At 45.6% G+C, this 12578-nt stretch overlaps 1 protein-coding gene across 15 annotated transcripts in view, besides 1 other annotated feature; it reads left to right on the forward strand.

The window, feature by feature from the left end:
* Window positions 1-12578, forward strand: part of JADE1 (jade family PHD finger 1) — a 65525-nt gene that overhangs the window by 45549 nt on the left and 7398 nt on the right. For 13 of the 15 annotated variants that reach the window (NM_199320.4, XM_017008626.3, NM_001287437.2 and 10 more), the window contains exons 7-9: window positions 382-549; window positions 2090-2206; window positions 6456-6977. In NM_199320.4, coding sequence (NP_955352.1) covers window positions 382-549; window positions 2090-2206; window positions 6456-6977 — 807 coding nt within the window. Of the gene's footprint in view, window positions 1-381; window positions 550-2089; window positions 2207-6455; window positions 9385-12578 lie in introns of those variants that run through there. The other 2 variants (NM_024900.5, NM_001287441.2) reach the window with 1 other exon arrangement.
* Window positions 8019-8068: an enhancer, noted in NCBI's record as "active region_21899". NCBI's record gives its function as "activates an Ori minimal core promoter by ATAC-STARR-seq in GM12878 lymphoblastoid cells {active_cell/tissue: GM12878}" and the evidence as "EXISTENCE:reporter gene assay evidence [ECO:0000049][PMID:35858748]".

Here is a 12578-nt window from a genome sequence, read left to right on the forward strand (position 1 = left end):
GAGGACTTACTGAGGACTTACTGCTCAATATTTAGAAACTTGGTATGGATGGGTTTCTGCGGCAACACAGCAAAGCAGATTTCATTTAAACCTTTCTGTCCTCAAGTAGTTTCCAGGACCACCCTCTGCTAAATAAATATGTATTGTGTCAGCAGAGCTCACCTCTATTATGAATACATATTCACCTCCTAAATGCTCCTGTGAGGCTGCCGGGCATTTTCCCGAGGGGAGACGGTCGTAGCCAGGAAGCTGTGGGAGCGTCTCTGCTTTGGTGGTAGTTCTGTTAAAATCTTTCTAAGTGTTTAAAATGAATAGATATAATGGGAAAAATAACATTTTCTCTTTCTCTCTATTCCTCTGGGATGTGCCGTGGCATCACAGGCCTGTTATGGAATCCTCAAGGTACCAGAGGGCAGCTGGCTGTGCCGGACATGTGCCCTGGGGGTTCAGCCAAAATGTCTGCTGTGTCCGAAGAAGGGTGGAGCTATGAAGCCCACCCGTAGCGGAACCAAGTGGGTCCACGTTAGCTGTGCTCTGTGGATCCCTGAGGTACGTGTGGTTCTTTTTTTGTTGTTTTTACTTTTTTTTAAGACAGAGTTTAACTCTGTCGCCCAGGCTGGAGTGCAGTGAGCTGGATCATGGCTCACTGCAGCCTTGACCTGCTGGGCTCAAGTGATCCTCCCACCTCAGCCTTTTGAGTAGCTGAGATTATAGGCATGTGCTACCAGGCCCAGCTTATTTTTTATTTTTTGTAGTGAGGGGATCTCACTTTGTTGACCTGGCTGGTCTCAAACTCCTGGGATCAAGCAGTCCTCTTTCCTTGGCTTTCCAAAGTGTTGGGATTACAAGCGTGAGCCACTGTGCCTGGTCAAGCATGGTTTTTAATAGCACCTTAGCTCAGAAGGTCCTGGCTTTTAACTGGGATTTAGTGGGTGGGTGGAGAACCATGCATAAATAGGCAGCATTGCAGCTATGAGTAAAAAGATACCTTTTAGTTGCTACCTTTTTCCTTGAGGAAAAACTGAATCTTAAGCACACTCTCATCTTGTCATGGAATGTAGATTCATGGAAATGTTAGCTGGAAGCAGCAGTCACTTGGGACTGGAAGTTAGTGGTGGTCACCCAGCCATCACAGTGAGCCTTCCCATCGCGACTCTCACTCTCAGGAGCAGACCTGTAGCACTTAAACAGCTGTGGCCTGGGTGTGTCATTCCCCAAGGATCAGCTGTACATCCTGTGTGTGGCAAGCTGTACTTGAGTTGAGGCACCACCATGGTTAAAAAACCACCACTCTTAGGCATACTTTGGTGATTTTTATTTAAACTCTTATTGTGCCTCAACCTTTTTAATTTCAGGTCTGGTCTAATTTATTTCTAGTCTCAGACCTTGACTAATATAATTTGCATAGCTCAGTGTGAGAATATAATTTGCTATTCAAATTCCAGCATGTTTTGGGTGTGATTTTGGTACATTTTCCTCTTGGGGAATATTATTTGAGGATGATTTGGATTGAGGTTTCATGATTCGGGTCTTGGTAGCACTGAGTCTCGTGGTTTGGTATTGATGGGATACAATTCGGTGATCCAGGCTGAATGCAGAGATGATACCTTATTTATCTTTGTAATTTCCCATCTTGAATGTAGTCATGTTTCAGACTGAAGAAAATGGTTTTTTTTGGCGAGAGATTAAAAACAGGTTATATTTACTTACCCTGTTGTTGACAACCTATTTGAATCGATTTAAGATGGATTTTTAGTCTTCACCAATTTGTTATGAGCTAGAGATTATAGACGGCATTGTCCTGGTACATGACTCTTTGTCATCAGACGCTCCGGTGAGAAGTGAAAACTCAGTTATCTAAGTGTTTTTGACAGACAGGGATGTCTGTCAGATGGGGACTGGGCTGTGAGCTCAGTTGTCACTGGGGCTGTTCTGAGGCTTTTAAAGTAAGGGTTTGCTTTGAGTGGGTGCCCCTTGCCACTGTCTGGTAGGAGAGATGTAGGAAAGTAATGGATCTTTTAGTTTCTGACATTCATGTTCAGCCTTTGACGACCTGAGCCACCCTGTCTTGCTGTTTTCCGACCTTTAGGTGAGCATTGGCAGCCCAGAGAAGATGGAGCCCATCACCAAGGTGTCACACATTCCCAGCAGCCGGTGGGCGCTAGTGTGCAGCCTCTGCAATGAGAAGTTTGGGGCCTCTATACAGGTAATTAGCTTCCTAAGAATGGCTTCATTTTCCTTTCCTGCGTGGTGGGGAGCAGGATGAGGGAAGGCTCTGTGAACTGTCCAAGGGTTTGGAGAGGGGACTAGAATCCAGGAAGCAGGACGAGGTTCCCAAGGGGTGACTCCAGCCCCAGTACACACACCTTTAATAGGCTAACTGTATCCGGTGTAACTAGAACCCAAGCTTTCACAGTCACAGGGTAGTTCAGAAGTTCCCCTGAGCTGTGAGGCGGTTGCAGTTTGTCTCTCGCTACCCTTTCTGCCCAAAGTCTAGCATCGCAACTTCTTTCCATAGGCCAACACCTCCTAGCAGTCTTAGTGAGATGTTCCTTGACACGGCATTTGAGAGTTGGCCACCCTCCCACCTGCAGTCACTGAGTGTAGCTGCAGACCCTGGCCCACCTCTGTGGCGGCCTCCTGAGATTGCAGGTTTCCATGGTGTGCGCACATCTGTTAGTAATCAAGGGGACATGCTAATGCATTTGCAGTTGGAAAAACAGAGACTCTTTGAACACGGCCTGGGTAGAGGGGCATCTGTGAGGAGTTCCTGTGTATGCTGTCATCTCATTGGGGCATCATTTGGATGTCTGATTCTTTATGGCACCAGGCGCGCATGCACGTGTGTGTGTGTGTGAGCGTGAGCGAAAGAGTGCGTGCACACCTGTGTGTAAACATGTTGCCTGCCTGCTTTTGCATATCCAGGTACAGACAAGTATAGGATGTCATGAGATAGGGGAATTAAGGAGGGAATATAGATGGCATGCTGTTTTTCATGTGGTCTAAGACCCTACTGAGAAGTTCGTTTTTAGGCCTCACATTATTGACATCTAGACAGTCAGGATTAGAGAGGCCTGCAGTGCTGTGTGGCTGATGGGGGCCCTTCAGGTTAAGTTTGGATCTTCTCGGATGTACTAGCACAGGCCACAGGCTCTTCTTCCTTGGTTTCCTCATTGAATTCTGGGAGCAGAGGCACTGTTTTGGGATGGCTTCTTTCTCAAAGCAGCTCAGCACAGACATAAGCTCCGAGAGCATGGTCATCCTGTCAGCCATGGGTTTTAAAGAAATGACCTCATTTGGCAAAGTCGGTTTGTATTTTGACTGATAAATACTTTTTGGGAAGGTGGTTTTAAAATTTTTTTTTTTTTTTTTGAGACAGAGTCTCACTCTGTCGCCCAAGCTGGAGTGCAGTGGCATCATCTCGGCTCACTGCAACCTCCGCCTCCCGGGTTCAGGCGATTCTCCTGCCTCAGCCTCCTAAGTAGCTAGGATTACAGGCGCGCACCAGCAAGCCCGGCTAATTCTCATTTTTGTATTTTTAGTAGAGATGGGGGTTTCACCATGTTGGCCAGGCTGGTCTCGAACTCCTGACCTCGTGATCCACCCACCTCGGCCTCCCAAAATGCTGGGATTACAGGCTTGAGCCACCGCGCCTGGCTATTTTTAAATTTTTTTAACAAGCCAAGTGGTTCTACTTTTCTTCTTTATCACTTTGACTAGTGTTCAAGAATCCAAAATATAACAGAAATATTTGGAGGGTGGGTCATGAGACAGCTGGTGGGATTTGGCTGGGGACCTTGAAATAGTGGAGATATTTTTGGCATGTGAATACATGACAAACGCCTCTGGCCCGAGTTGGATTGGGGAAGGAGGAGGAAAGAGTGGAGCAGGAAGAGAAAAGGGCAGGGAGCTGATGAACTTGAGTGTGTGTGTGTATGCATGTGTGAGTGTGTGTGTATGGGTGTGTGTGTGAGTATGCGTATGTGGGTGAGCATGCATATGTGTGCATGTGTGGGGGTGTGAGTGTGCATGTGGTTATGTGTATGTGTGTATGCATGTGTATTTGGTTATGCATATGTATGCTGTATGCATGTATGCGTATTTGAGTATGCGTGTGTGAATGTGTATGTGTGTGAGTATGCATGCGTGAGTGCGTATGCGTGTGTATGCATGTGTGCATATGTATGCATGTGTGTATGCGCGTGAGTGCGTGAGTATGCACATGAGTATGCATGTGAGTATGCATGTGTATGTGTGTATGCGTGTGAGTATGCTTGTGTATGTGTGTATGCATGCGTGTATATGTGTATGTGTGTGAGTATGCGTGTATGTGTGAGTGTGCATGTGTATGAGTGTGTAAGTATGTGTATGCACGTGTGCACTGGCAGGAAACAGGCTGCAGCAGACCACATTCCCCGGTGTTCTGAGCGTAGAATTTATGCCCTTGCCTGAGTATGCCAATCTGGTCCATAATTAATGTTTAAAAGAGGTGGGCGAATGGGATCTTTGTTTCCCTTTTGAAGAGAGATGATATAATGACTTTTTTGTTGCCATTGACCTCTTTTTCCCAGAACATTAATCTAAAGAAGAGGCCAAAGAAGGCTGATGATTTTTCATATCTTCACAGAATGGATTGATTTTATTAAAAGAATTCCTCTCTGAAATGTCTGCAGCTGTGAAGGCTCTGGTTTACGTTTCTGTAACATCTGTTTGCTGAGTCAACCTGAATGGGAAAACCCAGAGGAAGGCCATTTGGCGTTTTTACAAAGTCCTGTATAAATATTCTGCTGCAGTTCATTTCTCTTTAGGGTTAGAGCGCTTGGGTTAAGTGTAGTTTAAGCCAAACACAGATAGTGTCTCAGTCATCTGTTCCCACTTTTACTTCCCACTTGGCTGTGTGCTACAAGGGAAGACACTTTGTCTTCTCATGACAGTGGCCAGGTGTGTATGTGTGCGTGCTTGTGTGTGTGTTCTGCCACCAAAGCTGATTTCATACATTTCTTAGAATTGAGGTTATTTATAGAGAAAATACAGATTTATGTCAGTCTCTGTGGTTGAAGTGTTTGTAAGGGTGGAATGGTGAAGGGAGCTGGATTTTCTCCTCTTCTCAGTAAAAGAGACCTCATAGTAATGGAAGAAAGCCTGGTTGGCAGTGAGTTTCCTCTTAAATACTGGAATGATTAGGGGGAAAGCCTCAGCTCTAGCCTCTGCCATCCTTGGTGATGTGATTCAGGATCTGTTGAATGAGTTGAATTCAACTTCTCAGTTGGCTTGAAGCCGCTGGATTCTACAGCTCTGTGCAGCCCCTGGCATGCCCCGGTGATCACTTGGCTTCACACAATGCAGTGCTGCTTTTCAGGGACTGGCTTCAGTCACCATGAGGAACCACCTTCTAGGGATTTGCTCAGCAAGATCAGTGGAGGAGGAGTTAATCACTTTGCTCCTGCTAGACCAGAGGCTTGTTGTCTGGATCAAAGGCACTAAATTGTGGCCCTGTTTAGGCAGTGAGAGGGGAAGTGTTCTTCTGCATAGGTTGCTGATACCTGGCCTCTACGTTGACCTCCCTGTGACGCATGGGAAGGATCTTTCACGGTTCTCCTGCCTCTCTTCAGTGGCCAGGATCGGCGTGCACCGATCTCAGGGCTCAGAGCCCTCCATGCATCTGGTGAAGCTTCTTCGCAAGTGTGAAGACCTTTCCCTACCTTTCCTGTGCTGGATTCCTCTTGTCTCCTATTTTTTGGGGTTTTTATTCAGTTTCTCCTTCGTGCTGCTTCAAGGAAGTGCACTGTTCATTTTCTCACTCGTGTTGGGACTCTTCCTGGCTGGGGAGTCAGGATTTATGTTCAAACTGTGAGTAGTAGTCATTCTTCCCAAGGAGGTTCTTATTCAGGTTTGCACCAAAAGAGCTCAAATCTGTAAGAAAACCCAAGTTAATGCCTGAAAGTGGACTTTGCATATTGAGTACAGATTCTTTTGAATATGATCCTAGTGCCACACCTCCTTTCTCTACACATGTCATTTGTGTAATCATGTCTGCTCCAAGATGGGATTTGGATGCAGTTACTTTTCTGAGGAAGTTAGGGTTTGGTTGATTAAACCTTTCATTTGAAGAGGGCCCTTAAATTCCAAGACTTGGCTGGGCGCAGTGGCTCACGCCTGTAATCCCAGCACTTTGGGAGGCTGAGATGGGCGGATCTCTTTTGCCCAAGAGTTGGAGACCAACTTAGGCAACATAGGGAGACCTCATCTCTATAAAAAAAATTCCAAGCCTTACCTCTTTTAAAACATGACAGGATCTTGCAGGGTTAATCCACGTACAACTTTCCTGTCATGGCACATGCTTGAAGCATGGCTCTTCTCTGTGCATGTGTACATGGGGTGCCTAGCACTGCAGGCCTTCTGCCATCATTGCTCTATAATGGTCTATTCTCATGTTCTTTGTGTGTTCTTGACAGTGCTCTGTGAAGAACTGCCGCACAGCCTTCCATGTGACCTGTGCTTTTGACCGGGGCCTGGAGATGAAGACCATCTTAGCAGAGAATGATGAAGTCAAGTTCAAGTCCTATTGCCCAAAGCACAGCTCACATAGGAAACCCGAGGAGAGTCTTGGCAAGGGGGCTGCACAGGAGAATGGGGCCCCTGAGTGTTCCCCCCGGAATCCGCTGGAGCCCTTTGCCAGCCTTGAGCAGAACCGGGAGGAGGCCCACCGGGTGAGTGTCCGTAAGCAGAAGCTGCAGCAGTTGGAGGATGAGTTCTACACCTTCGTCAACCTGCTGGATGTTGCCAGGGCTCTGCGGCTGCCTGAGGAAGTAGTGGATTTCCTGTACCAGTACTGGAAGTTGAAGAGGAAGGTCAACTTCAACAAGCCCCTGATCACCCCAAAGAAAGATGAAGAGGACAATCTAGCCAAGCGGGAGCAGGATGTCTTATTTAGGAGGCTGCAGCTGTTCACGCACCTGCGGCAGGACCTGGAGAGGGTAATGATTGACACTGACACCTTATAGTGACTTAGAGAAGAAGATGCAAAGAGGCGAACGCTCGCCCAGAGCAAGAAATGATAGCCAGTCATATACTCTCAGACCCTTGTACACACCACAGCATGAGGTTGTGTTGGTTAAAAATATTTATGGGCTGGTAAACTCATTGTACATATGTGCAAAACTGCTACTGAGTGGGGAGCTTCTTTGTGGTTTTTTTTTTTTTAAAAACACTTTCCCATTAATCTTTACTGTTTTGTAAGATCAAATGGGGTGTGTCTTCCCCACCCCCATTCCTTCATTCTAGAGCTAGAGTGAATGAGCCCCAAGAAAATGACCCAAGGAGTTGACTCAGGATGGTTTACAGACTGATTTAGAAAACCAGAACGGATTTCATTTCTAATGGAGGGGGCCAGAGATGGGAAAATTTCTTGTTCAGTCCGGGGAAACACACCTAGGTGCTGGTGATGGGCTTATGAAGGAAGCTAAGCACGGCTGCTCACTGGCCCCCACTTTGTTTCTTGGGTAATTCACAGGGGAATTCCCAGTACTGTCATGGAGCAGAGCAGGCAGTGGGTGCTGATGTGTGTGCATGAGCTGTATGTACACATGCATATATCTGTTACAGAAGATACTCCTGGCAGTGAGGTGCTAAGTCATCACTGAGGCTGTGTGTGTGTGTGTGTGTGCGCGTGCCCGTGTCCATCCATGTCTCTGTTGTGTGTCTGTGTGCGGGTATGGGTGGGATTCCTGGTGGACAGGGGTGTCAGATCTGTCTGAGGAGCCCCAGTCATGCTCAGCACGCTACAGATGTGTTGTTTGTCACACTGAGATTGCTGAATGTCGTGGCTGTTGGCTGCCGAGCCTCAGCTGCTGGCATTTCCTTCTGCTGTTTGCTGCTTTTGTGCCTCCCCCACTTTCCATCACCTCTGGAGTCCCGTCTGGACGTCCCTTCCTGCTACAGGAATAATGAGGCGTGGGCTGCCTCCCGCTAGGGCCTCCTGCTCCCTGTAGGTAGTTTCTGGCTGAGGCTTGCTAATTGGGGATGCTTCTTAGAGCATCTTCCACATCAACTCCCCTGGCTGCTGGCTACCGATTAAATTCATTAGTGTGAAAGAGGTGGGAGTGAGGTTTTCTGGCCTGAAGCAGTCTGCACTGAAAGGTACCCAAGTGGCCTGAAACAGTGTAGGGAAAGACCTGGGAAACACTGGACCAAAAAAGCCTGATCTCATGGAGACCTGCATGGCCCTGTTAGAGATGGCGTAGAAGTGAAAGTCTTAAAGGGAGCATTAGAGATCCTTTTAATACACGACTGAGTGCCAGCTTATTTGTGATGCCCCTTCCCAGACCAGGTTAGGATTCCTGGGAAGGCCGCGGATTCCGGCCCTGGAAGAGGCAGGATCCTGGAGCAGTTTTGTGAGGCTTTTGTGCTCCCATACGCCCCCTGGTGGTGAGTGTAAAGAAGACTTTGCCTCTCACAACTACATGTATGTGTGGCATTTTTGTTAGAGATGAGAAAAGGATTGAGAAGGATAAACTGGAATCCTGGTAAGAAGCCTTTATGCCAGCCCGACACCTGCTGTAATTGGGGTGCATGAGCTATGGAGTCAGATAGTTGTTGGGAGGGGGAGGACAAGAAGTCTATTGTTTGGACTGTGTTTGTCTCACAATCACCACAAAATAAAAGTGTAGAAAATGCTTGTGGTGTACTAACTCTTTTCTGTACTTAAGTTACTCAGATTAACATGCACTTCTAATTCTAAACATTTTTTTTGGAGTCATCACTGTCGCTGTTTAAGTAGAACAATGCCAACGATGTATGAGAAACAGGGAATAAATCAGGATTTGTGTGTGTATGTGTGTGGCATTACTTACATTTACTTTATTAAAAAGCCTAAGGAACTTTAAAGAATTTGTATTCAGTTTATTTTTATTTTTTCAAGACAGAGTCTCACTTTGTTGCCCAGGCTGGAGTGCAGTGGCGTGATCTCGGCTCACTGCAGCCTCCGCCTCCCGGGTTCAAGTGATTCTCCTGCCTCGGTCTCATGAGTAGCTGGGATTACAGGCGTGCGCCACCATGCCTGGCTAATTTTTGTATTTTTAGTAGAGACGGTTTCACCATGTTGGTCAGGTTGGTCTTGAACTCCTGACCTCAAGTGATCTACCTGTCTTGGCCTCCCAGAGTGTTGGGATTACGCCACTGTACCCAGCCTTAGACTCAGTTTAAAATGGGCTTATTGTAATGAAAAAAAATACGCTACCCAAAATTTGCCATGATGCCTGTGATGGTGAAGGCATTAAACAATTGAAATCTTTGCCTTGCCCAGAGAGTTGCAGTTATTTGTAATTATAAACAGTAAGTGTATCAGGGCAGGGGTGACAATAAAAAACCAATCATTACTACCAACTTGTTTTCTCAAGTAAGTTAGTTTTCTGTTTAATTCACACAATATCAGTTTATAGCAGATCCTCAAAAATCATTTAATACCTGTGACTACAATCAAGGCATATGATCATTCTCAGACTGACAAATAAGTAGCCATCATTAGAAATGCAGACAACTGAGTAATTATGGTGACTGCTCTTCCTTCAGACACACACCTCGGGGCATTGCATACCTGGGTACCAGTTCTGGATCTGGAAGTTAGGTGACAGGAGTAGATTTCAGGAGGGCTTGGGAGCACACAACTTTAAGAAGACACAGTTGCTGATGTGGTGGGTAGCCATGTCATTCCCAAGGCTGCCACTTCACTCTCATTCCTTTCCCCTAAAAGATGCAGTAAATGTGAGTTCAGCAAATGAGTATTTATTCAGATAAAGACGTGCTACCACTGCACTCTGGCTAGCGTTATGGAAAGTGGCCAAGTCCTGGGGGCAGTCCTGTAGTCACTCAGTGGAATGGTCACCTTTGAAAATCTGGTAGTGGCTACAGTGTCCCCTGAACAAAAGGCACGTTCAACTTTAGTGCTGCAAACAGTTTTGGATTCAAGAAAACACTGAAACCACTTTTAGATGTCTTAGAGCAGTGTATCTCAGGGTGTTGTCCCTGACCCAGAAACTTAGGAATGCAGATTCATGGGCCCCACCTCCAAAGGGTGGTTCTGTTTTGTGGGTACCCCATGTTTCTGTTTGGGAACACTGCTTTAGGGGAAAGGGATGATCAGGTTTAAGGTGGTGTGAGAGTGCACCTGGAGATGGTTTAAATGTTTTTTAAGATACCTCCTTGCAGGCAGTTGGGAGAAGATAAAGCAGGGGAGGGAGCTTGGTGGAACGGGTGCAGGAAGAAGGGACAAGCTGGATGTGTTTTGAGGATGGGAGAGCATCAGTCCAGCTCTGCAGGTGGAGGTTGCTGAGCGTTGTCCTATAGGGAACTTTATGCATAAGGGAAGTCAGGTTTAGAGTCCTCACTACTATAAAGTGGAGTTGGTCAGGGCTGATTTGTTCCGATTGAAAACCATGCCCTTTGCTTTTTGGGTTTACATTTAGATATTTCCCATCAGAGATCATGAGGAATAGCAGTGGGATTTTTCTATTTAGCAGCCATGGTGTGGTCAAAGCTACCAAAATTAAATTTGAATAATATACAAAGTTCAAATTCCCTGGCTTCCCCGTTTTCCATTTTTAAGGATAATTTCAAGTAAGAGAGATGTAAGTATTTCTATTACATGTCTGATTTGAATATGAGAGCAACCTGTCTGCTCCTAAGATGTCAGGATTTGTTTCCATTTTTTATTTCCAGGAGTCAGATTCCTTGTTAATGTAAAAATGGTTCTGTTTCCTAGAAGTTTTGAATCTGCTATGGATCTAGGTCTGGCCCCTCGTTCTTGAGCTTCACTCTTAATTTCCCCTGGGTGGAACAATATCGAAGAGAGGAGGATGTTAGCCACTTCCATTCCCAAGTTGGTGAGAATTTCTATAAAGGACACCTGCTTCTTGGATTGAGGGTGTGCAGCTGTCAGAGAAGGGAAGAAACTACCTTAACTAGGCTGATTGACATCCATGTAATATTTACTATGAGACAGGGAGAGTGTTTTTATTCTCAATTCTTTAAATTTAAAATAAGACAGGAAATGTTAGTGACATAAGGGATTGTTAGAGAAAAAAAGATGGGAAGATCCGTAAAGTGAATTTGTTAGGGGCAGGAGAAGCCTGACTTGGCATTTTCCTGTTTAGGCCAGGAGATATTACCATAATGCAAATGTGAAAGCCTGTGTTCTGTCTCTCTTAATGCTTCATGTCCTCTTGCAAATGAGACTGCCTTCAGCACAGCTGGAATTATTAGGGTTTAGTCTACACTTACGCTCTACACCAGAGTGCAAAATCTTTTGTGTCTTCACAAGGCTTGTTGATGCTTGTTGCTGTCCTCACTGCCAAAAGAAAAGGTTGGTGACCTTTGGACTTTTTCCACTTAAAGTAGGGTGATACTACTTTATTGAGTTTATGGGGAAAAAATTATAAAGGTGTCAGGGGAAGAGTTTGCTCATAATGGGATATTTTTAGGAAAGTGAAGGCATGCCTGTAGGAGCTAATGGGAAAGATGTGGTCAGATAAAGATGCTACCACTCCTGCCACTGAGATTACTTAGGAGGTCTTGTCCACATATTCCTGAAGAAGGGTTTAATTGTGTATTTGGTGTGCTGTGTCTGACATCTGTGTTTGCAGGTCCGTGTAATCTAATCAGGTTGACCAATAGAAGATTTTAGGACTGAAGGATTAGGGGAGTTTAGAGACTAATTCTTTAAGTTTTGTGTATTGAGTGATGACAGGTGGGGAACAAATCTAAATGTTGATTACTGAGCATAGGTTAGGGTTATGTGATCCAAAGCAGTCACACATCAGATAGGAAGTAGAGCCAACTCTTAGCACTGGGTCTTTTCAGTTACAAGCGAATCGGGAGAGGGCAATACCAGTTTTTCAAGTGATGATGCAGAGAACTGGACTGGAGATGTCTAACCAGCAAATCATTGGCAAAGCTGGAAATTTCCTAGGCATTCGCACACCTCATAGCAACACATAAGCTACCTGCTAACTCCAGGCCTTTCAGTGAGTTCAGTGTGCAGTTGACAAAGACATTTACTAGGATTCTTGGTAACCATTTGGTCTTCCAGTGGGCCTGGTGCAGGGGGCTCCACTTTGATGACCCTTGGCCCCATGTTTACCCAGTTCAGCCTCAGAAGATAGTTGATAAAGTGCAGAAGTGGCTTCTGAACTGCTTTAAAGCCATTGGCCATCCAAGTAATAGAAGATATTGATGCAATAATTAGCAAAGTCGACTGGCAAGAGGTTGCAAGTTTTGACTTGGACACCAATGGCCTCTGTGCCGGGATGGGTTAGGTGTGATGGAGGAGGCAGGACTTTTGTAGGAGTTCTCTAGGTGTCCCTCCCACTCCTGTGGGTCCCTAACCCTCTTCGATGTTGCTTCTGCCTATGTTGAGGGCTATATGTGGAATCCTTCTTATCTGCCCAAAAGGAGATCAGAGATTGGATAAAATGTTTAAAGTACCTATTGATTTCAAGTATCTGTCAAGGCCCTAGTAGGAGTAATTTCTCTTAGGTAAAGAAATTTAAAAAGCACCAAAGTACTGTTATACTGTATTGCTT

The sequence above is a fragment of the Homo sapiens genome, chromosome 4, assembly GCF_000001405.40.
Source record: "Homo sapiens chromosome 4, GRCh38.p14 Primary Assembly".
Classification (NCBI taxonomy): Eukaryota; Metazoa; Chordata; class Mammalia; order Primates; family Hominidae; genus Homo; species Homo sapiens.